General features: G+C 37.7%; 1 protein-coding gene and 1 non-coding gene across 9 annotated transcripts in view; one reads left to right on the top strand and one right to left on the bottom strand.

Annotated features, from left to right (window-relative positions):
* BCAS3 (BCAS3 microtubule associated cell migration factor) overlaps nucleotides 1-24690 on the bottom strand; it is a 714981-nt gene that overhangs the window by 415092 nt on the left and 275199 nt on the right. The window lies entirely within an intron of this gene.
* On the top strand, nucleotides 15847-15950 carry LOC124904118 (small nucleolar RNA U13). Its single transcript, XR_007065997.1, has one exon. It is a non-coding gene; the product is annotated as a small nucleolar RNA U13 (small nucleolar RNA).

Here is a 24690-nt window from a genome sequence, read left to right as displayed (position 1 = left end):
CAATCATAGGTGGGAATTGAACAATGAGAACAGGTGGACACAGGAAGGGGAACATCACACTCTGGGGACTATTGTGGGGTGGGGGGAGCGGGGTGGGATAGCATTGGGAGATATACCTAATGCTAGATGACGAGTTAGTGGGTGCAGGGCACCAGCATGGCACATGTATACATATGTAACTAACCTGCACATTGTGCACATGTACCCTAAAACTTAAAGTATAATAATAATAATAATAATAATAATAAAAAGAAAGTGCTTCCGCCAAATGCAATGGCTCATGCCTGTAACCTCAGTACTTTGGGAGGCTGAAGTGGAAGGTTCACCTGAAGCCAGAGAGATAAGCCTGGACAACACAGTGAAACCTTGTGTCTACAAAAAGAAAAAAGAAAAATAGCCAGGTGTGGTGGCATGTGCCTATAGTCCCAATCACTTGGGAGGCTGAGGTGGGAGGATCGCTGGTGCCCAAGAATTTGAGGCTGCAGTGAGCTATGATTGAGCCACGGCACTCCAGCCTGTGCAATGCATATTTTTAGAGACTCCATCTCTAAAAAATAAAAGCTTAAAAAATATTGTTTCGTGGGGGGCAGCCCCCGCCTGGCCAGCCGCCCTGTCCGGGAGGTGGGGGGCAGCCCCCGCCCGGCCAGCCACCCCGTCCGGGAGGTGCAGGGCAGCCCCCGCCCGGCCGCCACCCCGTCTGGGAGGTTGGGGGGCGCCTCTGCCCGGCCGCCCCGTCTGGGAAGTGAGGAGCCCCTCTGTCCGGCCACCACCCCGTCTGGGAGGTGTATCCAACAGCTCATTGAGAACGGGCCATGATGACGATGGCGGTTTTGTCGAATAGAAAAGGGGGAAATGTGGGGAAAAGAAAGAGAGATCAGATTGTTACTGTGTCTGTGTAGAAAGAAGTAGACATAGGAGACTCCATTGTGTTGTGTACTAAGAAAAATTCTTCTGCCTTGGGATGCTGTTAATCTATAACCTTACCCCCAACCCCGTGCTCTCTGAAACATGTGCTGTGTCCACTCAGGGTTAAATGGATTAAGGGCAGTGCAAGATGTGCTCTGTTAAACAGATGCTTGAAGGCAGCATACTCCTTAAGAGTCATCACCACTCCCTAATCTCAAATACCCAGGGACACAAACACTGTGGAAGGCGGCAGGGCCCTCTGCCTAGAAAAACCAGAGACCTTTGTTCACATGTTCATCTGCTGACCTTCCCTCCACTATTGTCCTATGACCCTGCCAAATCCCCCTCTCCGAGAAACACCCAAGAATGATCAATAAATACTAAAAAAAAAATATATATATATATATTGTTTCCAAAAGTTTAACATAAAGTTACCATATGACCCAGCATTTTCACTCCTAGATAGATATTCAAGAGAACTAAAAACATACGTTCATACAAAAACCTATATACAAGCTGTGGTGGCTCAAGCCTGTAATCCCAGCACTTTGGCAGGCCGAGGCGGGTGGATCACGAGGTCAGGAGATTGAGACCATCCTGGCTAACACGGTGAAACCCGATCTCTACTAAAAAATACAAAAAATTAGCCGAGTGTGGTGGCAGGTGCCTGTAGTCCCAGTTACTCAGGAGGCTGAGGCAGGAGAATGGTGTGAACCCGGGAGGCAGAGCTTGCACTTGCAGTGAGCCACTGCACTCCAGCCTGGGCGACAGAGCAAGACTCCATCTCAAAAAGAAAAAAAAAAAAAAAAAAAAGCAAAAATCTATATACAAATGTTTGCAGCTGGATTCCTAAGCCCAAATGTGGAAACAACTTAAATGTCTATCAATTGATAAATGAATAAACAAAATGTCATATATCCATATAATGAAATAGTATTTACTCATCCATGAATAGGAATGAAGTTTCTGATGCATATTTGAAAATGGATGAACTTTGAAGCATTATGCAAAGTGAAAGAAACAAGACATAAAAGGCCACATATTGTATGATTCCATTTTATATGAAATGTATAAAATAAGCAAATCCACAGATACAGAAAATAAATTAGTAATTGCAGAGGAGCAGGGAGAGGGGGATGGAGAGTGACTTGGATAGGTACAAGGTTCATTTTGGGGTGCTGAAAATGTTCTTGAATTGAATGGTAGTGATCAATGGATAACTGAATATACTAAAAAACTACTGAATTGTACATTATAAAATGGTGAACTTTATGTATGTGAATTATACCTCAACAAATCTGTCATAAAAAAATGAAAGGAACACTAACTAGCCAGTTTCCTGAAAGTGAAGTTCTATAGCCTCTTTTTATAGTTTGTGGTTTCTTTTAATAGCCCCCTTAGTTCTTAGAGATGCCTTTGCTGTCCTATGCACAAAGGAAGATAAGCAGCTGCTGAGAAGCCTAAACGAGCATTTTTATCTGTGCCTATCGTGGCTCATTTCACATCTGGGGTTGGGTTAAACAAATGGCTTGAGGCCGGGCGCGGTGGCTCACGCCTGTAATCCCAGCACTTTGGGAGGCCGAGGCGGGTGGATCATGAGGTCAGGAGATCGAGACCATCCTGGCTAACAAGGTGAAACCCCGTCTCTACTAAAAATACAAAAAATTAGCCGGGCGCGGTGGCGGGCGCCTGTAGTCCCAGCTACTCGGGAGGCTGAGGCAGGAGAATGGCGTGAACCCGGGAGGCGGAGCTTGCAGTGAGCCGAGATTGCGCCACTGCAGTCCGCAGTCCGGCCTGGGCGACAGAGCGAGACTCCGTCTCAAAAAAAAAAAAACAAAAAAGCAAAAAAAACAAAAAAAACAAATGGCTTGAATATAATATGGGTAAAAGGTATAACCAGATGTTCTTATTAAGTTTCCTTCCATTCAGCATAAAAGTGTGCCATAAGAAGAAAAACTCAAGCAAACAGCACTTAACTTAATCTGGGAATCCTCATTAGGGCACTCATTATTACCAATTTAGAGTTTTTAAGTATACAAATGTCAGAGTTCTCAACTAATGAGATACAAATACAGTATTACAGTGTTTAATTAAATGTTTTGCAAATTTATGTTAGGTTATGTAATTTACCATTCATTAAATGTTTCCTGTATTATTTAGCATATTTATAATATCTCACATTTCTCATTATAATGATATAAAATTTGGCTAATCAGAAACCAATTAGGCCTCTAAAATGCTAAGATATTTGTTCTTTAAAACGTACTGTAGTCATAGTCCAGTAATTCCGATTTATACAAATACTTTATGTAATCTGAGTTATTCATTTTTAAATATTTCATCGATTTGAGAATTCAAAACTGTAATATTTGGGGAAACCAATATCTAATATAGTAGATATACTCACATGGAACATAAAATTTCTAAAGAGTGTTTTCATCTATGTTCAACATTTTATCAAAACTTAAAAAAATTAATTCACAAAATGGGTTGAAGTCAAAGTACATATGAAACAAGAGGATTGGGTACTAGAATTAAATGTTACTACATTTCAGCATCTAAGATGTAGAAATCAGCATCTTATAAGGCTGTGAATTCACCACCAAAAACTCAATAACAACCTCAATTAATAAGAATGATAACATTTTGGGATTATTTAACATCCTAAAAAAACCTGAAGCAGAGATTGTTAAACTTTAGTGTGATAAGAAGCACTTAGATGATCTGTACAAAATGCAGATCCTGTGGTCACATCTTCAGAATTATGATTCAGCAGTTATTTGGGTAGGAGGGGGGATGACCAAGAAATATGCATTTTTAGAATACTTAAATAATAACTCTGGTACTGATCAGCAATACCAAGTTAGAAAATAAAGTGACCAGCAACAGCATTCCCTCCAACCCCATATCAAACCTTAGAAATTACAGAAAAAATATTTTTAGGCAGGGTGTGGTGGCTCACGCCTATAATCCTAGCACTATGGGAGGCCGAGGCAGGTGGATCACTTGAGGTCAGGGGTTCAAGACCAGCCTGGCCAACATGGTGAGACCCTGTATCTACCAAAAACACAAAAATTAGCCGGGTGTGGTGCATGCGCCTGTAATCCCAGCCACTCAGGAGGCTGAGGCAGGAGAATCGCTTGAACCTGGGAGGTGGAGGTTGCAGTGAGCTGAGATTACACCACTGACCTCCAGCCTGGGGGACAGAGCAAGACTCCTTCATACATATATATATATATATATATATTAATAATAAGGTAATAGCAATGTCTAGGGCAGCAGCAGGGCAGAGAGCACTGACGAAAAAGGGCAGGAGGAAAGTTGTTTCTGAGATAAGAAAACTATTCTATATCTTGATTGTGGTGATGATTATATAGATTTAACTACTGAGAGGCAAATCCAACATCCATCTCCAACATTCACTCCTTCACTGGATGCCACCACAGATACTTAATCTGTGATTGCCTAGCCTCTTTTACAACAAGTGGTGACATAGTTATGATCACTCAAAGGCAGGTGGCTATTGCAGGATTCTGGAACAGTATCTGCTTTCCTGATAAAGGAAATTAACATCACTGATGGTGCCCTTTCTCCCCTTCTTATTGCCTTGAAGTCTGAAATGATGCCCAGGGAAGTGACATTTATAAAGGAATCATGAGGGAAAGAGCAAAAAAAGTCACATAGACATCATTCAGCCAAGACCAGCAGCAAACATTTTATAACGTGATAAAAAATAAACACTGATTTTAAAAAACCATTGTTAAATGTGGTTTTCTTTCTATGGCCAAAAGTATGCCTAATGATTCCAATAACAACGCCCTTTCTAACCCTACTGGAAAAGAAAGAAAACCCAAGAGCAATGCTCGGATAAAAAGTCTCAAGACGAAGAGAGTTATCATAAAGATAACTGCATATAGCAATAACTACCTTGCCAAAGTCCAAGCCATTTGATGAGGTTATGTTTAATGAAAACATATAGAAATATAAAAAAGGGAATTAAAATACAAGTTCTAGAAACATTCCCAGCCATGTACTTCAACATTTTTTATCCTTCAGAACTGATAAAAACACGTGCACTTTCGGGCTGGACACAGTGACCCATGCCTGCAATCTCAGAGCTTTGGGAGGCCAAAGTGGGAGGATCTCTTGAGGCCATGGATTCAAGACCAGCCTGGGCAACATAGCAACAGCCTCTCTAAAAAATTTTTATAAAAATTAGCTGGGCATGGTGGTATGCAACTGTATGTAGTCCCAGCTACTTGGGAGGCTGAGGTGGAGGATCTCTTGAGCCCAGGAGTTCAAGGCTGCAGTGAGCAATGATTGCACTACTACACTCTAGCCTACGTGACAGAGCAAGACCCTGTCTCAAAAAAAAAAAAAAAAAAAAAAGGCCAAGTGAGATAAAAGCCCAACATCCTAGCTGTCCCACCTTATGCAAAGGGTAGCTTCCCCTGCCATGCACAGGGGATAACATTACTGAAGGGCAATTGTCACTGGAGCAACTGGCATGTGCACATTAAAAACGCTAGTCCATGCTTTTCATGGAGGAAAAATACACTGGAATGGGATATAAAATGGTGGGACCCTTTAGTCCGATTCAATGTACTATCATTTTGACTTATGTTGGTGAATATATAACTGGTATTAATGGCTTACATGACTGTACTTAAATGCTTGTGCCAGAGGATATCATCGAACATGTACACCAAGGTGATAGTGGGACAACTGCACAACAGACCACCTACTAGACTTCCAGTTCCTTCCCATATTATATGCCAGAAACAACGTAGGATTCCAAGAGTAAAATGTTTAGGTAAAGACTTAATGGCTGCTGAAGTACTCAGAGGTGTTATCTCAGTACAACATCGCCACCTGCCTGATGCAGCCACCAAGTACACTCCCTTTTTTAGAAGGCTGCTATTAACCAGCTACAAAGTTCTAATTGTAATTGAACAACTGACCCATGGAGGCCTTGTGACTTTCTAGACCTACTTGGGGATGGGTCAACTAAAATTTGAAAATGAACAAGGTGGGAAGAGCCCAACCAACAGGGACCGCTATTCAAATGGAAATGGTATATTCCAGAGTACAGCCAGTCTGGTTGAGCAGAACCTTGGGTATTACAGCCACTTTATCTTTTATTCCACTGTCAGAAGCATGCCACTGGCTCAAGAGGCACTGGATTCACAGAGCTTCCTTTAAATACCTGGGCCTGATTGACTGATGGCTCAGCTAAGATGAAACCTGATGATGCCCACTGGGCCTTGATAGCTGTATAACCCCAACAACTCTGGAAGGCTGATTGAAATAAGGAGCAACCAGCATGATAGAATAATGCAAAGCCATCACCCCAGCTTTAATTCAGGGTTAGGTAAAAACTATGTCGGTGGGCCAACTGTGCCCATTCATTTATGTACTGCCTATGGAAGCTTTTGTATGACAGCAGGAGAACTGAGTATAGAGACAATATGGAATGCAGAGTCAAAGATACTTATTATCTGGTCCTTTAAAGAAAAAGTTCGCCGCCTCCTAATTCTGAAAACCCTCTAGAAGTTTCATTTTTACTGACTTTTCCTCAGTTGGCAATGGCCTGGCCAGTGGTCTCATCTGCCACAAGGAAGACTAAACACTCGCAGACTACAGATGCACCTCTTTGGGGCCATGAGTTCTGCAAACAAATCATAGTTGCTAATTGAACAATCTGGATCACTCACAGCCAAGGTAAGGTTCTATTCACTGATGGAAATGACTGGAATCAAGCTGCTTATCAAGCCTACAGTACCCTGCACTGCACTGTGATTGCCATCCAAATCCATCCATAATAAATGTTTTGCCTCTGACTTAAGTATCATCTATTATCCACTGTTTCATATCCATTCAAACTAGGCATGATGTCATAATTGAAAATAATATGTATTCTGCAGTTGTTGGGTTTGGTTATCTAATAGGCCAATGTAGCTAGTAGTGTTACTCTAATAATTTATGTCTTTTTTCTCTATTCTATCAACATCAAGAAAGTGGTATTAAAATCAACAATGCTGATTGTAGAATTATTCATCCTATTAATTCTGATTTTATTTAATGTATTTTAAAACTCAGTTTTAGATGCATACATTTATTTTATTTTTTATCATACAGCCCAAAATGTCAAGATGCATTTAAATTATGTGCATTTAAAACTGAGTCTACGTGCATACATTTAAATTTTCCTGATAATTTGACTTTTGAACAGTACAAAATATCTCTGGTAATAGGCTTTGTCTTAAATTCTATTTTAGTTGATACTAATATAGTTGAATTTCCAATATTCTTATGTTTCTTATTTGGATGATGTATCTTTTAATATACATTTACTATCATATTAATGTCTCTATATTCAACACTACCTTATAGGCAATTTCTTCCTTTATATTGGAGTACATTAATATTTAATTTCTATATGGTTGAATTTTGATATACCATTTAATATCTGTTTTCTGTTTATCCCTCTTTTTCTTGTGCTTCTGCCTTTCCTTTCCTGTCTTTTGTATTAACTGAACATTTTTTAGTATGCCATTTTCATTGAAGCATTGATTTTTTATGTATAGCAATGTTGAACCTTGCAATAGTACAGCTCCATATACCTGCCTCCACCCTAGCACCCTCCATCTTTGTGCTATAGTTGTCATATGTATTACATGTACATATAATACAATACCAACAAAATAATTCAATCATTCCCATATATTAGACACAAATTTTTAAAAGGGAAAAATCATCCTTTCTATTCAACAAGAAATGACCATATTCTTCACTATTTCCTAAAGCTGCAAGTTTGCTTCTGGTATTATGTGCCATTAGCATAATTTACAGTGTGGATGTCTCGCCTTTACTGCTCCTTCATCCTTGAGAGATATTGTTGTTTGATGGAAAACTTCAGGTGGCCAATATTTTATTCTTTGAGTCCTTCAGACATGTTATTCCACTGTCTTCTGACTTCCATGGTTTCCAGTGAGAAGTCAATAGTGTGTTAAAATGTACTTTCTGTGTGTGCAATGCATTACTTTTGTCTGCCTACTTTCAAGATTTCCTCCTTACTTTGGTTTTCAGAAAAATGACTATGATGTCCTTTGACATGGTTTTTGTTGTACTTAATCTTATGTGTTGTTTGCTTATCTTTTTGAAGTTGTAAATGTATGTCTTTCAACAAAAGTGGAAAGTTTCCCACTTTTAGATTTTTTTTCCTCCCTTACTCTCCTCACCTTCTGCAATAACTACATGTATGTTGGCTCTGATATTGTCCCACAAGTTGCTAAGGCTCTACTTATTTTCTATTTTTTCACTCATTTGGTTTGGAAATTTCTAGTGATCTATCTGCAAATTCATTTACTCACTCAAATTCTGCTATTAACACATCCATTTCATTTTTATTTTTGATATTGTATTTTTAAGTTGTAGACTTTTCACTAGGTAATTTCCTATATTTTCTCTTTCTCTGCTGACATTTCCTACCCTTTTATTTAAAAGAAGCATATTTTCCTTCATATCACTGAGCATAGTAATAATAGATGCTTTAAAATAATTTCTACTAGAAGATGGAGACTTCCAGTTCCAAAACGGTGGTATAGAAGCTAGCTGGCTTCACTACCCCTGCAGAAAACCAAAAACAAATATATAGTACCGAGATTTTAACCAGAAACACTCAGAACTCAAATATGAGGATGAGACAATTCCTGAGGCCACAGAGAAGTGAAAAAGAAAACCTCAGAGTGAATGGTAAGAGATTCAGACTTCCAGATCTGTAATGCCCCTCCCCCGATTCTGCCTGGCATCAAGAGCACAGAAAATCTCCCCCCCCAACTCATGGTGACTATACTGGAAAAAGTGAGACTGAGGTGGTAAACCAGCTTTCCCACCATCTTGGGTGCTCTGGCAGGAAAACTATCCTTGCCTTAACTGGCAGGAAGTATCGTGGCTGCCTGATGGGAGAAACAACCCTGAGGACAGGCCAAGACAAAGTGGGGAGGCTAGACTACCATCCCTAGCCCTGGAAACTTTGTTCCATTACTTGGCCAAAGGAGACACCAAATTAGAGTGGCTGTTCAGCAGCACCATGTAGTAGGCAATACATTACAAAGGTCCCTGGGCACAAACCCCTAGCCAGACTTGACACACTGTGGGGATAACCACTTTGGGATGCTCCCAAATCAGGATAGGCAGTACTACAATCATTTAGCAGAGCCAAGGTGAACCTGGGCTTTAGGTACCACCTATATCCAAAAAAAAAAGGCAACAACTTAGCTGTAAAGATTCACTAACAGGCCAGACACGCTGCCTCATGCTTGTAATTCCAGTGCCTTGAAAGGCCAAGGCAGGTGAGAGGATCACTTCAGGCCAGGAGTTTGTGACAGGCAGGGCAACACAATGAGAGTCTGTCTCTAACAACAACAACAAAAAAAATTCTTTTTAAAGTTAGCCAGGTATGGTGTCACGTGCCTGTAGTCCTAGCTACTCAGGAGGCTGAGGTTAGAGGATTGCTCCAGCCCAAGAGTTCAAGATTACAGTGAGCAATGACTGCACCACTGTACTCCAGCCTGGGCAACAAAATGAGCCCTGACTCTAAAAGGATTAAAAAAAATGCACTAAGCAAAATATACCCAATAAAATCAAAACAAGGTAGACAGATAAAACTGAAATAAAGTATCAATGCAAAGATACAGATATACACACGAAAAAAACAACAGCAAGTAGGGAATTATGACCTCTCCAATGGACAAAGCAAAACTCCAGTGACAGACCCTAATGAAAGAGTGATCTGTGAGCCCTCTGACCAAGAATTCAAAATAGCAGTTTTAAGAAAACTCAGTGATCTCCAAAACAACAACAACAACAACAACAACAACAAACACACAGAAAAGCAATTCAGAAATTTATCAGAGAAATTTAACAAAGAGATTGGGAAAAAATATAGAAATCTTGGAACTGAGAAACATATTTGCTGAACTGAAGAAGTCATCAGAGACTCTCAACAGTGGAATGGACCAAGTGAAGGAAAGAATCAGTGACCTAAAATACTGGCTATTTGAAAATACAATTGGGGGTGTGGGGGGTGGTGGGAGAAGGACAAAGAACAAAAAGGAATGAATACCACCAACAGGATGCAGACAATTACCTCAAAAGACCAAATCTAAGAATTATTGGTATTCAAGAGGGAGATAAGACTAAAGGGTAGAAAATGCAGCCAAAGAAATAATAATGGAAAACTTTCTAAAACTTAAGAAAGATATAAATATCCAGTTATAGGAAGGACTGAGAACAACACTCAACCCAAATAAAAGTACTCTAACACGTATAATAATGAAACTCTCAAAGGTCAAGGACAAAGAGAAGATCCTAAAAACAGCACGAGAAAAGAAGCAAACACTGTATCTCCAATTTGTCTGGCAACAGACTTCCCAGTGTAAATCATATAAGCCAGGAGGGAGTATAACAACATTTTCAAAGTGCTCAAGGAGAAAACATTGCCATCCAAGAATATTGCATTCAGCAAAATTATACTTGAAATATGAAGGGGAAATAAAGTATTTCTGAGACAAACAAAAACAAATAATTTGCCACCACCTGACCCACCTAACAAGAAATGCTAACGAGAATAATTCAATCTGAACCAAGAAAACTCTGATGTGCTAAAAGAAAGCTTTTCAAGGTATAAAACCCACTGGTAAAAAGTACATGGTGAAACACAAAATACTCTATAACTGAAATGGTGGTGTACAATCCACTCATAACTCTAGTATGAAACCCAAAAGATAAATCTATCAAAAATAATAATCGCTATTAGCAACCTGTTAAAACATAGGTAATACAAAAAATATAAACTGATATAACCAAAAGTCAAGATGCTGGGGGTGCCAGGCATGGTAACTCACATCTGTAATCCCAGCACTTTTAGAGGGCAGATCATTTGAGGTCAGGAGATCAAGACCAGCCTAGCCAATGCAGTGAAACCCTGTCTCTACTAAAAACACAAAAAAATTAGCTGGACATGGTGGCACATGTCTGTAATCCCAGCTACTCAGGAGGCTGAGGCAGAAGAATCACTTGAACCCAGGAGACGGAGGTTGCAATGAGCCAAGAACGTGCCACTGGGTAACAGAGTAAGACTTTGTCTCAAAAAAAAAAAAAAAAAAAAGTTGGGTGATAGAGTAAAAGTATAAATTTTTTTTACATGTTCTTTATGCCTGCCTTTGTTTCTACTCTTCTATTTGTGATCTAAGATAAGTTGTAGTCTCTTTAAAATAACTTGTTATATCTATTATAAGATGTCTCTATAAGCCTCCTGGTAACCACAACACAAAAACTTGTAACACAAAATCCTGTAACAGACTCACTAAAAAGAAATGCAACAAATTAACAGCATAATACCAGAGAAAATAACTTACCCACAAAGGAAGGCACTAAGAAAGAAACAACCAGAAAACTAGCAAAAGAATGGCAGTAGTATCTTCTTACTTATCAATAATAAGGCTGAATGTAAATGGTCTCGATTATCCAACTAAAAGGCACGGAGTGGCTGAATGGATAAAGAAACAAGACCAAGTTACATGCTGCCTTCAAGAAATCCACTTCACCTATAAAGACACACATAGACTGAAAGTGAAGGGGTGAGAAAAGATACTCCACGTATCTGGAAACCAAAACAGAGCAGGAATAGCTATACTTACATGAAAAAATAGACAACCAATCTAAGATTATAAAGAGAGACAGAGAAGGACACTATACAATGATAAAGGGGTCAATTAAGTAAACATATGTAACAATTATAAATATTCAACCAACACTGGACATCTCAAGTCTATAAAGAAAATATTAATAGATCTAAAACAGAGATAGACTGCAATACAATAAAAGAAGGAGACCCCACTCCAGTAATGGACAAATCATTCAGACATAAAATCAACAATGAAACAGCAGAGTTAAACTACACACCAGATCCAACAAGCCTAACTACGTTTAGAGAACATTTTATCCAACTGCTGCAGCATACATTTTCTTTACTAGCACATGGGACATTCTCCAGAAGAGACCATATCTTAGGTCATAAAACAAATCTGAACAAAACTTTTAAAATAAAAATCATATCAAATATCTTTTCTGGCCACAATGGACTAAAACTAGAACTTAATAAGAAGAACTGGGGAAAATATATAAACACATAGAAATTAAAAAACATGCTCCTGAGTGACCAATAGGTCAATGAAGAAATTAATTAAGAAAGAAATTTTAAAATGTCTTGAAACAAGTGAAAATGGAAAAATGGAAATGCAATATATAGGCCGGGCGTGGTGGCTCATGCCTGTAATCCCAGCACTTTGGTAAGCCGAGGGGGCAGATCACTTGAGGTCAGAAGTTCAAGACCAGCCTGGCCAACATGGTGAAACTCCATCTCTACTAAAAATACAAAAATTAGCCAGGTGTGGTGGCGGGCGCCTATAATCCCAGTTACTCTGGAGGCTGAGGCAGGAGAATCACTTGAACTCAGGAGGCAGAGGTTGCAGTGAGCCAAGATTGCGCCACTGCACTCCAGCCTGGAGTGAGACTCCATCTCAAAAAAAAAAAAAAAAAAAATTCAATATACCAAAACCTATGGGATATAGCAAAAGCAGTACTAACAGGCAAGTTTGTAGCAATAAATGCCTATATCAGAAAAATGAAAGGCTTCAAATGAACAACCTAATGATATACCTCAAGGAACTAGAAGCAAGAACAAACCAAAGTCAAAAATAGTAAAGACAGAAATAATAAAGATCAGAGCAGGAACTAATGAAATCGAAGCTAAAAAGAAATACAGATCAATAGAACAAAACATTGGTTTTCAAAAATGTAAACAAAATCAACAAGTCTTGAGCTAGACTAAGAAAAAAGAGAGAAGACCTAAATAAATAAAATCAGAAACAAAGAAAGGACACATAACAACTGAGACCTCAGAAACACAAAAAATCATTAGAGACTACTATGAACAATTATATACCAACAAACTGGAAAACCTAGAAGAAATGGATAAATTTCTGGAAACATACAACCTCCAAGATTGAATCATGAAGAAACAGAAAACCTCAACAAACCAATAACAAGTAACAAAACTGAAGCTGTAATAAAAAGCCTCCATAAAAAGCAAGAAAATCCCAGGACTTCACAACTTCACTGCTGAATTCTACCAAACATTTAAAGAAGAATTAATACCAATTGTACTCAAACTCTTCAAAAAAATTGAAGAGGAGGACATACTTCCAAACTCATTCTATAAGGCCAGCATTACCTTGACAGTAAAATCAGATAAGGACACGACAACAAGAAAAGAAAACTACAGGCCAATATCCGTGATGAACATATATGTGAAAATCCTCAACAAAATACTAGCAAACAGAATTCAACAACACACTAAAAAGATCATTTATAATATCAAATGGGATTCATTCCAGGGATGCAAGGATGGTTCAACATAAGCAACTCAATAAACATGATATATCATATTAACAGAATCAAAAACAAAAACCACATATTTCAATAGATACTGAAAAAGTATTTTATAAAATTCAACATCCTTTATGATATAAAAAAACCCCTAATCAAAATGGGTATAGAAACAACATACTTCAAAATAATAAAGACCATATATGACAAATCCACAGCTACCATCATACGGAACAGGGAAAAAATGAAGGCCTTTCCTCTAAAGACTGGAACAAGACGAGTATGTCCACTCTCACTACGGTTACTCAACATAATACTGCCAGTCCTGGCCAGAGCAATTAGGCAAGAGAAAGAAATAAAGAGCAACCAAATTGGAAAGGAAGAATTCAAATCAGCCTTGTTTGCAGACAACATGATCTTATATCCAGAAAAGGCTACAGAACTCACCAAAAAATTGTTACAGCTGATCAGCAAATTCAGTAAAGTTGCAAGTTATAAAATGAACATACAAAAACCAGTAGCATTTGGCCGGGTGTGGTGGCTCACGCCTGTAATCCCAGCACTTTGGGAGGCCGAGGCGGGTGGATCATGAGGTCAGGAGATCGAGACCATCCTGGCTAACACAGTGAAAGCCTGTCTCTACTAAAAATACAAAAAATTAGCTGGGCATGGTGGCAGGCGCCTGTGGTCCCAGCTACTCGGGAGGCTGAGGCAGGAGAATGGCATGAACCTGGGAGGCGGAGCTTGCAGTGAGCTGAGATTGCGCCACTGCACTCCAGCCTGGGCGACAGAGCAAAACTCCATCTCAAAAAAAAAAAAAAAAAATCGATAGCATTTATATACATCAACAGGGAACAATCTGAAAAAGAAATCAAGAAAGCAATCCCATTTGTAATAGCTACAAAAATATAAAATTCCTAGGTCTCAATCTAACTAAAGAAGTGAAAGATCTATAAAAAGAAAACTATGAAATATGAAAGAAATTGAAGAAGACACAAAAAAATGGAAAGATATTCCATGCTTATGGATCAAAGAATACTGTTAAAACGACAATACTATCCAAAGTAGTTTACAGATTCAATGCAATCCCTATCAAAATTCCAACAACATTCTTACAGAAATAGGAAAAAAAAAATCTTAACATTTATATGGAGCCACAAAAGACCACAAATAGCCAAAGCAATCCTGAGCCAAAGGAACTGAAGGCATCACACTTTCTGACTTCAAAATTTACTACAGGTATATAATAACCAAAACAGCATGGTGCCGGCATAAAAATAGATACACAGACCAACGGAACGTACTAGAGAAACCAAACATACATCCATGCATTTACAGTCAATTCGTCTTTGACAAAGACGCCAAGAACATAAGAAGGTAAAAGAACAGTCTTTTCAATAAGTGGTGGTGGGATAACTGGATAGCTATGCAGAAGAATGAAACTAGACCTCTATCTCTCACCATAACAAAAATCAAATCAAAATCGATTAAAGACGTAAATCTAAGACCTCAAACTATGAAACCACTAAAAGAAAACTTTGGAGAAACAGTCCAGGACATTGGTCTGGGCAAAGCCTTTTTGTGTAAGACCTCAAAACCTAGACAACCAAAGCAAAATAGACAAATGGGATTACCTGAAGCTAAGAAGCTTCTACACAGCAAAAGAAATAATCAACAAAGTGAAGAAACAACCCACAGAATGGAAGAAAATATTTGCAAACTATCCATCTGACAAAGAATTTATAACTATAATATATAAAGAGCTCAAGTAACTCAATAGCAAAAACCCCCAAATAATCCAATTTTAAAATGGGCAAAATCCAACCCCATTAGAAACAAAAGAAAAAATAAGAAAATTTAAAAATGGGCAAAAGACCTGAACACACATTTCTCAAAAGAAGACATGCAAATGGCCAATAGGTATATGAAAAAAAATGCTCAACATCACTAGTCATCAGAGAAACACAAATCAAAACCACAACAAGATATCATCTCACCCTAGTAAAAATGGCTTGTATCAAAAGGACAATCAATAAAAGATGCTGGTGAGAATGTGGAGAAGAGACCCTTGCACACTGCTGGTGGAAATGTAAATTAGTGCAGCCACTATGGAGCACAGTATGGAGGTTCCTCAGAAAACTAAAAACAGAATTACCATATGATCCAGCAATTCTGCTACCAGGTATATAGCCAAAAGAAAGAAAATCAATGCATCTAGGGGATATCTGTACTTCCATGTTTATTGCAGCACTGTTCACAATAGCCAAAATATGGAATCACTCTAAGAGTTCATCAACAGATGAATAAATAAAGCATATATGGTATATATAGCAATGAAATATTCAGCTTTAAAAAAAAGAATGAAATCCTGTCATTTGCAGCAACATAGCTGAAACTGGAGGCCATTATGTTAAGAGAAACAAACCAGGCACAGTGAAATGTTGCATGATCTCACTCCTAGGTGGGAACTACAAAAGTGGATCTTTGATCCTTTTGTAGTTCATAAGCATGATGAGTGGGTTTTCACACTGCTGTGTGAGATGTGCCTTCCTCAAGCCTCGTTACAATGTCAGCACATTATCCATCTGATGTGAAAAAAAAAAAGCAGTGGGCCTCATGAAGATAGAGAGTAGAATGGCAGTTATCAGAGGCCAGGAAGTGTGGGGCAGGGTGAATGAAGGGGAAGAAAAGGAATAGAAATGTATTTATTACCACTGAACTGTACACTTAAAAATGGTAAAGATAGTAAATTTTATATGTATATTTTTTTAAGTATAAAAAAGGAGAAATTTGATATGGTATAGAAACTTTCTATACTATCTTTGCAACTTTTCTGTAACTCTAAAATGATTCCAAAATTGAAAATTTATTTTAAAAATAAAATAATTTTTATAATTTACTACATCTGGGTAATCTCGAGGTTCATTCTGCTAATGTGACTATTGTGATCCTATAGATTGAAGCAGCAGCTCCTGCATGACAGTTTCCACCTGGACATTCCTTCTGGCCAGCCCTACTGATTTCAGACTAGCCTAGCCAGCCGCCAGAATCATGTATGCTGATAAACCTCTGTAATGCCCTACTGATTCTGTTTCTCTGGTAGAACCTTAACGGATACAGAGGTTTAATCCAGTTCCTATCATTCCATCATAGCTAAATGACAAAATTTATGATATAAGTTTTTCAAAATTTCTCCCTGACCTCAAATGTCTCCCTTACTGCCATTCAGAGTGCTTCTTATTTTACCATTCAATAATACTTCCTTTGGATCTTCTGGTATTTGAATATCCTACCAAGGAGAAAAAGATGTTACTATGAGGAGTTTCATGGTTGGGAAAATGTGCTCTGAAGGCCAGGAGTATAGCTTGACAACATTCTGCTGAAGACATCAGGCATGTGTTTCATGGATCCACTCAATCAGCAGAAGCCAGGAATAGAGAGACAAATGCAAGAAAGATCTGTGGAGTGTCCTCTTGTCTGATGGCATGGATCCCCATGACATACACAGGAGATACACAAGGTTTTTGAGAATGTAGTATCTGCAGAAACACCGCCATCTTGGACTGAAAGGCACAAAGGCATGATTAAAAAAAAAAAAAGAAAAAGAAGAAGAAGGCAGCTACTGGACTTGCAAAATTCCACAAGCAGGAAACAGGCTGATAGAGCTACCTAGGTGCAAACCTGTGCTACCCTTCAATAAAATGTATGAATGACTCCAAGGGCAGAGATGTGCACTTAAAGGCCTAAGCTGTGTGTACAAAGGCAGGAATGGGCAGAGCCACAGGCCCAGAAAATGAAGCCGCAGTCCAGGAGGGCAGTGCCTCAAGCCAGATGGGAAACTCTGGCCTTGAAACACAATGGAATTTGCCCTGCTAGATTTTAAACATGTTTGAAACCAGTGACTCTTTTATTCTTTTCCATTTCTTCCTTTTGAAATGTCTATCCTACGCATATCCTACTACTGTATTTTGGCAGGAGGTAACTTTTATTGTAGTTTCACAGGTCCACAGAAGCACAGGAATTTTGCCCTAGGATAAATTCCAGAGTCTCAACCATACCAGAGTCAGATGATTGAGATGATAAGATTGGACCTTTGAGCCGATAATATTTTTAAAAAAAATTTAGACTTAGAGTTGATGCTGTAATGAATGGGTTGTGACTTTTGGGGATGTTGGTAGGGAAAAGAGGTAATACTTAGCATATGGCATGAACATGAATTCTGGGAGGCAGAGGATAGAATACAGAGAAGTGAATTATAGCCCCCAAAAGACATGTCCACATCCCTCAAAGGATCAAAGAGTTACTCTTTGGCAAAATAAGTGATTAGGTTATAAATCCTAAGAGAAGGGGCTTATCCCTGGGTTATCCAGGTTGGTACTTAAAACAATCACATGTATCTTTACAAGAAATACAGAAGAGGAGCTGACTCAGAAATGAGGAGGATGTAATACAATCAGAGAGACAGAGACTGAGTGATGTGGCTATAACTCAAAGAATGCTAAAGGCCATCAAAGGCTAGAAAGGGCAAAGAACAAATTCTTCCTCAGAATTTCCAAAGGAAGTGCAGCCTTGCTTACATTTTGATTTTAGATTTTTGCCCTCCAAAACTGTAGGAGAATAATTTTTGATATTTTAGGCTCCCAAGTTCATGGCAATTTGTTGTAGTAACCACAGGAAAAAAACCATTGAGTAAATCTGGACATCATCCTGAACAACATGAATTTTATAATATGAACAATCTGCCCCAGGACTGAAATTGCTGGGTTCTATGGTAAGTACATATTAATATTTTAAGTAAATGCAAAATTATTTCCCAGAGAAGCTGTACCAACAGCAATGTATGAAATATGAGAAATTTAGTTCCTCTATTCACTGACTGTGGGGAGTTAGTTCTTTAAAGGTATTGTGGACATAAGACATACAACTTGTGTCTTTTCATTCTCTTAATGGTTTTGTTCAAAAAGCAGATGTGTTTCATTTTGATGAAATCCAGTTTATCAATTTTTCTTTAATGGGCTTTGGAATAGAAAATTTTGCAAAGCAAAAACAAAACCAAAAAAAAAATTTTTTTTTTGAGACAGGGGTTTGCTCTGTTTCCCAGGCTGGAGTGCAGTGGTGTGATCATGACTCACTGCAGTCTTGACCTCCCAGGCTCAAGCGATCCTTCCACCTCAGCTTCCCAAGGAGGTGGGACTACAGACATGCACCACCAGGCCTGGCTAACTTTTTTTTTGCTTTTGTAGAGACAGAGTCTTTCTATGTTCCCCAGTCTGGTCTTGAACTCCTGGGGTCAACCGATCCTCCCACCTTAGCCTCCCAAAGTACTGGAATTATAACTGTGTCCAACCTTGGTGTCACATTTTAAAAGTCTGTCCCTAACCCAAGTCACGAAGGTTTCTTTTGGTGCTCTAATAACTTCATAGTTGTAGGTTCTACATTTAAGTCTATGATCTAATTTGAGTTAATTTGTTAATTTGTGGAAAAGACTAATCTTTCTCCACTTTGTATCTTTGCACCTTTGTCAAAAATAAGTTGTCTCCACATGTGTGGGAATGGTCACAGGATCCCTACTGATTATTGTAGTTTTAGTAAGTCTTGATATAGGTAGTGACATTTCTCCAACTTTTTCTTTTTCAAAATTATTTTGCTCATAAGTGTTGTGCATTTTCATGTGAATTTTAGAATTATCTTGTTAATGTTTAACCAAAAGAAAACCCTGCTGGGATGTTGATGCAGATTACATCGAGTCTATGGATAAATCTGGGAAGAACTGACATTTTAATGATGGTAAGTATTCTAGCACAAGAAAATGGTTTAATTCTCCATTTATTTAGGTCTTTACTCTGAGCAATATTTTCTAGCTTTCAGAGTACAAGTCTTGCTTATTGAATGTCAGTAGTATACACTTCTGGATTTTTTAAATGATCAATTCATTGTTGTTAGTATATAGAAATGCAACTGATTTTTGTATATTGATCTAATATCCTGTAACCTTGTTAAAATCATTTATTAGTTTTTTAAAAATAAAATAAAATCCTTTAGTTTTTCAACATAGACAATCATGTCATTTTTGAATAAAAGATAGTTTTACTCTTGCCTTTCTGATCTGACGGTAGTTCTTTCTTTGTTCGCATGTCTCCTCTGCAGATCTCTGGGATTCTCTCTCTGCAGCTCCCATGTCTCTGGTCCAGTGTATTGAGAATCTATGATCTTGGCCTCCCAGGACTCTTAGCAATACCTCATCAATTCAGGGAGACTGCTAGGCTCCACTAGGGTTCCCCCTTCCTGCACCATGACTGGAAACTCTTTCAAAGCAATAAACTGGGGCAACCATAGGCATCCTCTCATTTGTTCTTCATCTATCAGGGATTGCCATCTTTCAATGACTAATGTACAGTAAATAGAAAACTACTGTTCATTGTTTAGTTGTTTCAGGTAGGAGGGTTAATCCAGCTCTTAACGCTATATTGGCCAAAAGTAGAGGTCCTAATATTGACTCTGTATTTGGCATTTACTGTGCCAGTGCTTTGCTAAGCATTTTACATATAGTATTTCTGTTATTTCCTCAATAAACTCTGAAATCGGTATTGGCCCCATTTTACAGAAGAGTAACTTGAAGATTAGAGAAGGTATTTAGCCTGTCCTTAGTTATATAATTACTAATCAGCATCCAAGTATATAGGGGAGCAGGGAAAACAGGAATGAGGAGTGACTGCTAATGGATAAGTGGTTTAAGGATTACAAAAATGTCCTGAAATTAGATACTAGTGATGATATGCAAACTGTAAAAACATAACAAAAACCACTGAATTGCACTTCTAAAAATGAATTTTATAGTATGTAAATTATATCTCAATAAAAATGACGTTTTTGCAGAAAAACTGAAGAATTACATGACTATAGATAGGGTCATGCACAGGGTTGCTAGATTCACAAAAATAAATACAGAAAGCCCAGTTAAACTTGAATATTAGTAAAACCATAACTAGGAAATATTTGGAACATGTTCACACTAAAAACAAATATTTGCATTTATCTAAAATGACCATCAAATAGTTATCAGTTAATAACACTGAATAACTAGATGATTTTCCCCTTGACAATTGAAGATACTAACTATATTATTTCACAGTATTATTCTAGAATGGTAAAATTAACACTTTTCTGATTTTGTTTCAAAAGCAAGTTTGCCATTTGCCAAAATTAGCATGCTAAGTACAAAAATGACTTGAGTCTGTTTGAGAAAGTATGTTAACAAAATATGTGTAAGGTTTATACTTACTGTTGAAAACAAGGACTATTTTTCTTACTGCATATGTGCTTTACGAGGAAAATTACTGTCAGATGCAAAGGATATCCCAAGTCATAGACCACAAAACAACTTAATTCAGTATAATTAGATACACATACTGAATTTTTTTCCTTGCCTGATTAAAGTACCGTCAGAGTTCTTGGAAGAATCCAGAAAAACATGCTTTTGTAGTACTCAAAGAGGGCCAAACAGATCATGTGACATATAGATTTCACGACTGGTGTTAAATTTTATATATCAGTTCAAAATAATTTTCTGTAGAACCTTATAAAATTAATTTTGTGGTCACTGAGGTCCTGGTATTTGGGGTTTAGAAATTCCCAGTCTCCCATACAGAGTGTGTTCTAGAGCATAATCATTTAAATAATTTCTATTTGACTTTCCTACCTGTTAAGTAGGAACATCACTGGCATTAGCAAACATTTGCACTACAATATGCAAGGCTCCATTCTATGCATGAGAGATGCCAAGAAGCTTAAGCAAAATTTCTATTTCCATATTGAACTTATAGATAAATTAAATGGCAAATAACTTTAATACAAAGAGGTATCAAAAATAGGTGTTAAGTGCTTAAAATATCCAAATTCTAAAAGGTCAGAGATGAGGTAGAGCATCTCAGTGACTAGAACAGATGGGATGGGATTTGAAAAAGAGGTAAGAAATAAAATGTGCCCAGCAGCACAGTGAAATATTAACTCTAGATAAAATGCTCATCAAATTTAAAACTTCCATACAAAAGAGACAAAAACAAATAATAATTAAACTTAAGGGTAAGCAAGTTAGTTGTGCCAGAAAGTAAGGACAAGCTCAGAAAGTGGTGAAGATATGTCAAAAGGACACAGACACCAAGTTATTGGGCTCCCACTGGCCAAATGTGGGACATTTTGTGCACTATAATAAGTAATTATTGAACAAATATAATCCATTGAATAAAATAGGAATCTATGAGACCAAAATGATAGGTAAATAAAGGAATGAATTGAAAGTTCAATGCAGAATGGCATATTTACATAGTTTTAAATTACTGCCCCAAAAACCTTGTAAATTTTTATAAGTACAAAAGAGTAACTGCACAGTGAGGAAGACCAGCAGACATCATCTCAGTCATGTGATTAAACTGATCATCATCAATAACAAATCAAAATCAAAATCAGTAACAACCTGATAGGATGCAATAAGAACCAGCACCTACTCTGTGACATTCCTGTCAAGGATGAGTAAGCTAAATCTAATCATAATGAAACATCAGATAAAAAATTGAGGCACTTTTGACAAAAATAAATTACTTGTAATATTTAAATGTGCCGAGAGCATAAAAGGCAAAGAAATAATAATGACCTGTTCCAGAATGAAGGAGATTAAAGAGATATAAAAATTCAGTCTCCAGCCGGGCACGGTGGCTCATGCCTGTAATCCTGGCACTGTGGGAGGCCAAGGAGGGCGGATCACAAGGTCAGGATATCCAGACCATCCTGGCCACCAACATGGTGAAACCCCATCTCTACTAAAATTACAAAAAAAAATTAGCTGGGCTTGGTGGCGTCTGCCTGTAATCCCAGAGGCTGAGGCAGGAGAATCGCTTGAACCAGGCAGTCGGGAGGTTGCAGTGAGCTGAGATAGCGCCACTGCACTGCAGCCTGGAGACAGAGCAAGACTCTGTCTCAAAAAAAAAAAAAAAAAAATTCAGTTTCCCTGAACTAGATCCTTTAGCTAGTTACTGGGACAATCAGTGAAACCAAAATGGACTTTCAAAATTAGATGGTGAAAATTTATTGATTTGACTTTTTTATGGTTACACAGAAGAATGTTCTCATTTGTAGAAAATACACATTCAAGCATTGAGGGTAATAGGGCATCATGTCATGTTGGCAATCTACTTTCAAATGGTCCAAGGAAAAAAATGTATCTGCCTTAGTGGAAGGCCTATGCATATAAAAATCAATGAGGTACAATTTATTTTTAAAAGAAATCCCAGTATTAGTGGAGACAAACAAGTAGACAACCAGTCAAAATACAAAATAATAAGTACTATAATGGGGCGTAAAATGAGTAACACAAGGAAGAGAAGAATTGATTCCACCTAGATAAGGAAGAGAAGAAATAAGGTAATTTTTAACATGAATATTGCATGAATGAAAAATATAAATCATGATCCAATGAATATACTTCTAAAATGAAATCTTAATAGAAAAATCAATTTCATTAAACTCAGTAGGAACTTTAAAAGTATGCATTGTATGTATTTTTGGTGAAGAATAAAACAGATATAATAATCCTTATTACCCTCAAGAAGGTAAAAATATTTTAAGTATTTAATCCAGAAGAAAGAAATTGGGCATTATATGTATGAGATGTTAAATATTCCCATATTTACTCATGAATGAGTTAAAATTTGCACATAAATAATAATTTGCCTGATGGGAACATTAGAAGAAAAGACACTGTGTTAATGACTAAAATTCCATTTTCTAGTTTTTCTCTAATCAAGGAACTACTAGTATGGGTAAAATGTTAAATGGTGATAGCTTAGAAAAGTCATTCAATGCTAAAGGCTAAGATTACCTAGATGATGGTGATGGATGCACAACAGTGTGAATTAATACCATTGAACTGTATGCTTTAAAATGGTAAAAATGGTGGAATTTTTTTTTTGCATTTCACCACAATTTTCTAAAATAAGATTCCCAAACTATTTTAAAATTCATATGAAACCAAAAAAGAGCCCAAATAACCAACGTAATCCTAAGCAAAAAGAACAAAGCTGGAGGCATCATGTTACCTGACTTCAAACTATACTACAGGACTGTGGTAAGCAAAACAGTATGGTACTAATACAAAAACAGACACACAAACCAATGGAACAGACTAGAGAGCCCCAGAAATAAGGACACATACCTACAACCATCTGATCTTCAACAAAGCTGACAAAAACAAGCAATGGGGAAAGGACTCCCTATTCAATAAATGGTTCTCGGGTAACTGGCTAGCCATGTGCAGAAGGTTGAAACTGAACCCCTTCCTTACATCATATAAAAAATCAACTCCAGTGGCTCACGCCTGTAATCCCAGCACTTTGGGAGACCGAGGCAGGTAGATTGCCTAAGGTCAGGAATTCGAGACCAGCCTGGCCAATATAGTGAAACCCCATCTATACTAAAAATACAAAAATTAGCTGGATGTGGTGGCAGGTGCCTCTAAGCCCAGCTACTCGGGAGGCTGAGGCAGGAGAATCGCCTGAACTCGGGAGGCAGAGGTTGCAGTGAGCAGAGATCACGCCATTGCACTCCAGCCTGGGTGACAAAAACGAGACTTCATCTCAAAAAAAAAAAAAAATCAACTCAAGATGAATTAAAGACTCAAATATAAAACTCAAAACTATAAAAACTCTGGAAGACAACCTAGGCAATACCATTCTGGACACAGGAACTGGCAAAGGTTTCATGACAAAGACACCAAAAGCAATCACAACAAAAGCAAAAATTGACAAATGGGCTCCAATCAAACTAAAGAGCTTCTGCACAGCAAAAGAAACAATCAACATAGTAAACAGACAATCTATAGAATGAGATAAAATATCTGCAAACTATGCATCTCACAAAAGTCTAGTATCCACCATCTATAAGAACTTTAAACAAACTTACAAGAAAAAAAAACAAAAAACCCCATTAAATAGTGGGCAAAGGACATGAACAGACACTTTTCAAAAGAATGTCATTAGAGAAATGCAAATCAAAACCAGGATAAACCATCTCACACCAGCCAGAATGGCTATTATTAAAAAGTCAAAAAATAACAGATGCTCCTTAGGTTGTGGAGAAAAGGGAACGCTTATACACTGTTAGAGTGTAAGTTAGTTCCATCACTGGGGAAAGCCGTGTGGCAATTCCTCAAAGAGCTAAAAACGGAATTGCCATTCAACCCAGCACAATCCCATTCCTGAGTAAATATACAACAGGATATCAAACATTCTACCATAAAGACACATGCATGCACATGTTCACTGCAGTGCAATTCCTAAT

This window comes from Homo sapiens, chromosome 17 (genome assembly GCF_000001405.40).
Source record: "Homo sapiens chromosome 17, GRCh38.p14 Primary Assembly".
Lineage (NCBI taxonomy): Eukaryota > Metazoa > Chordata > Mammalia > Primates > Hominidae > Homo > Homo sapiens.
This window is presented reverse-complemented; position numbering and strand designations above follow the sequence as displayed.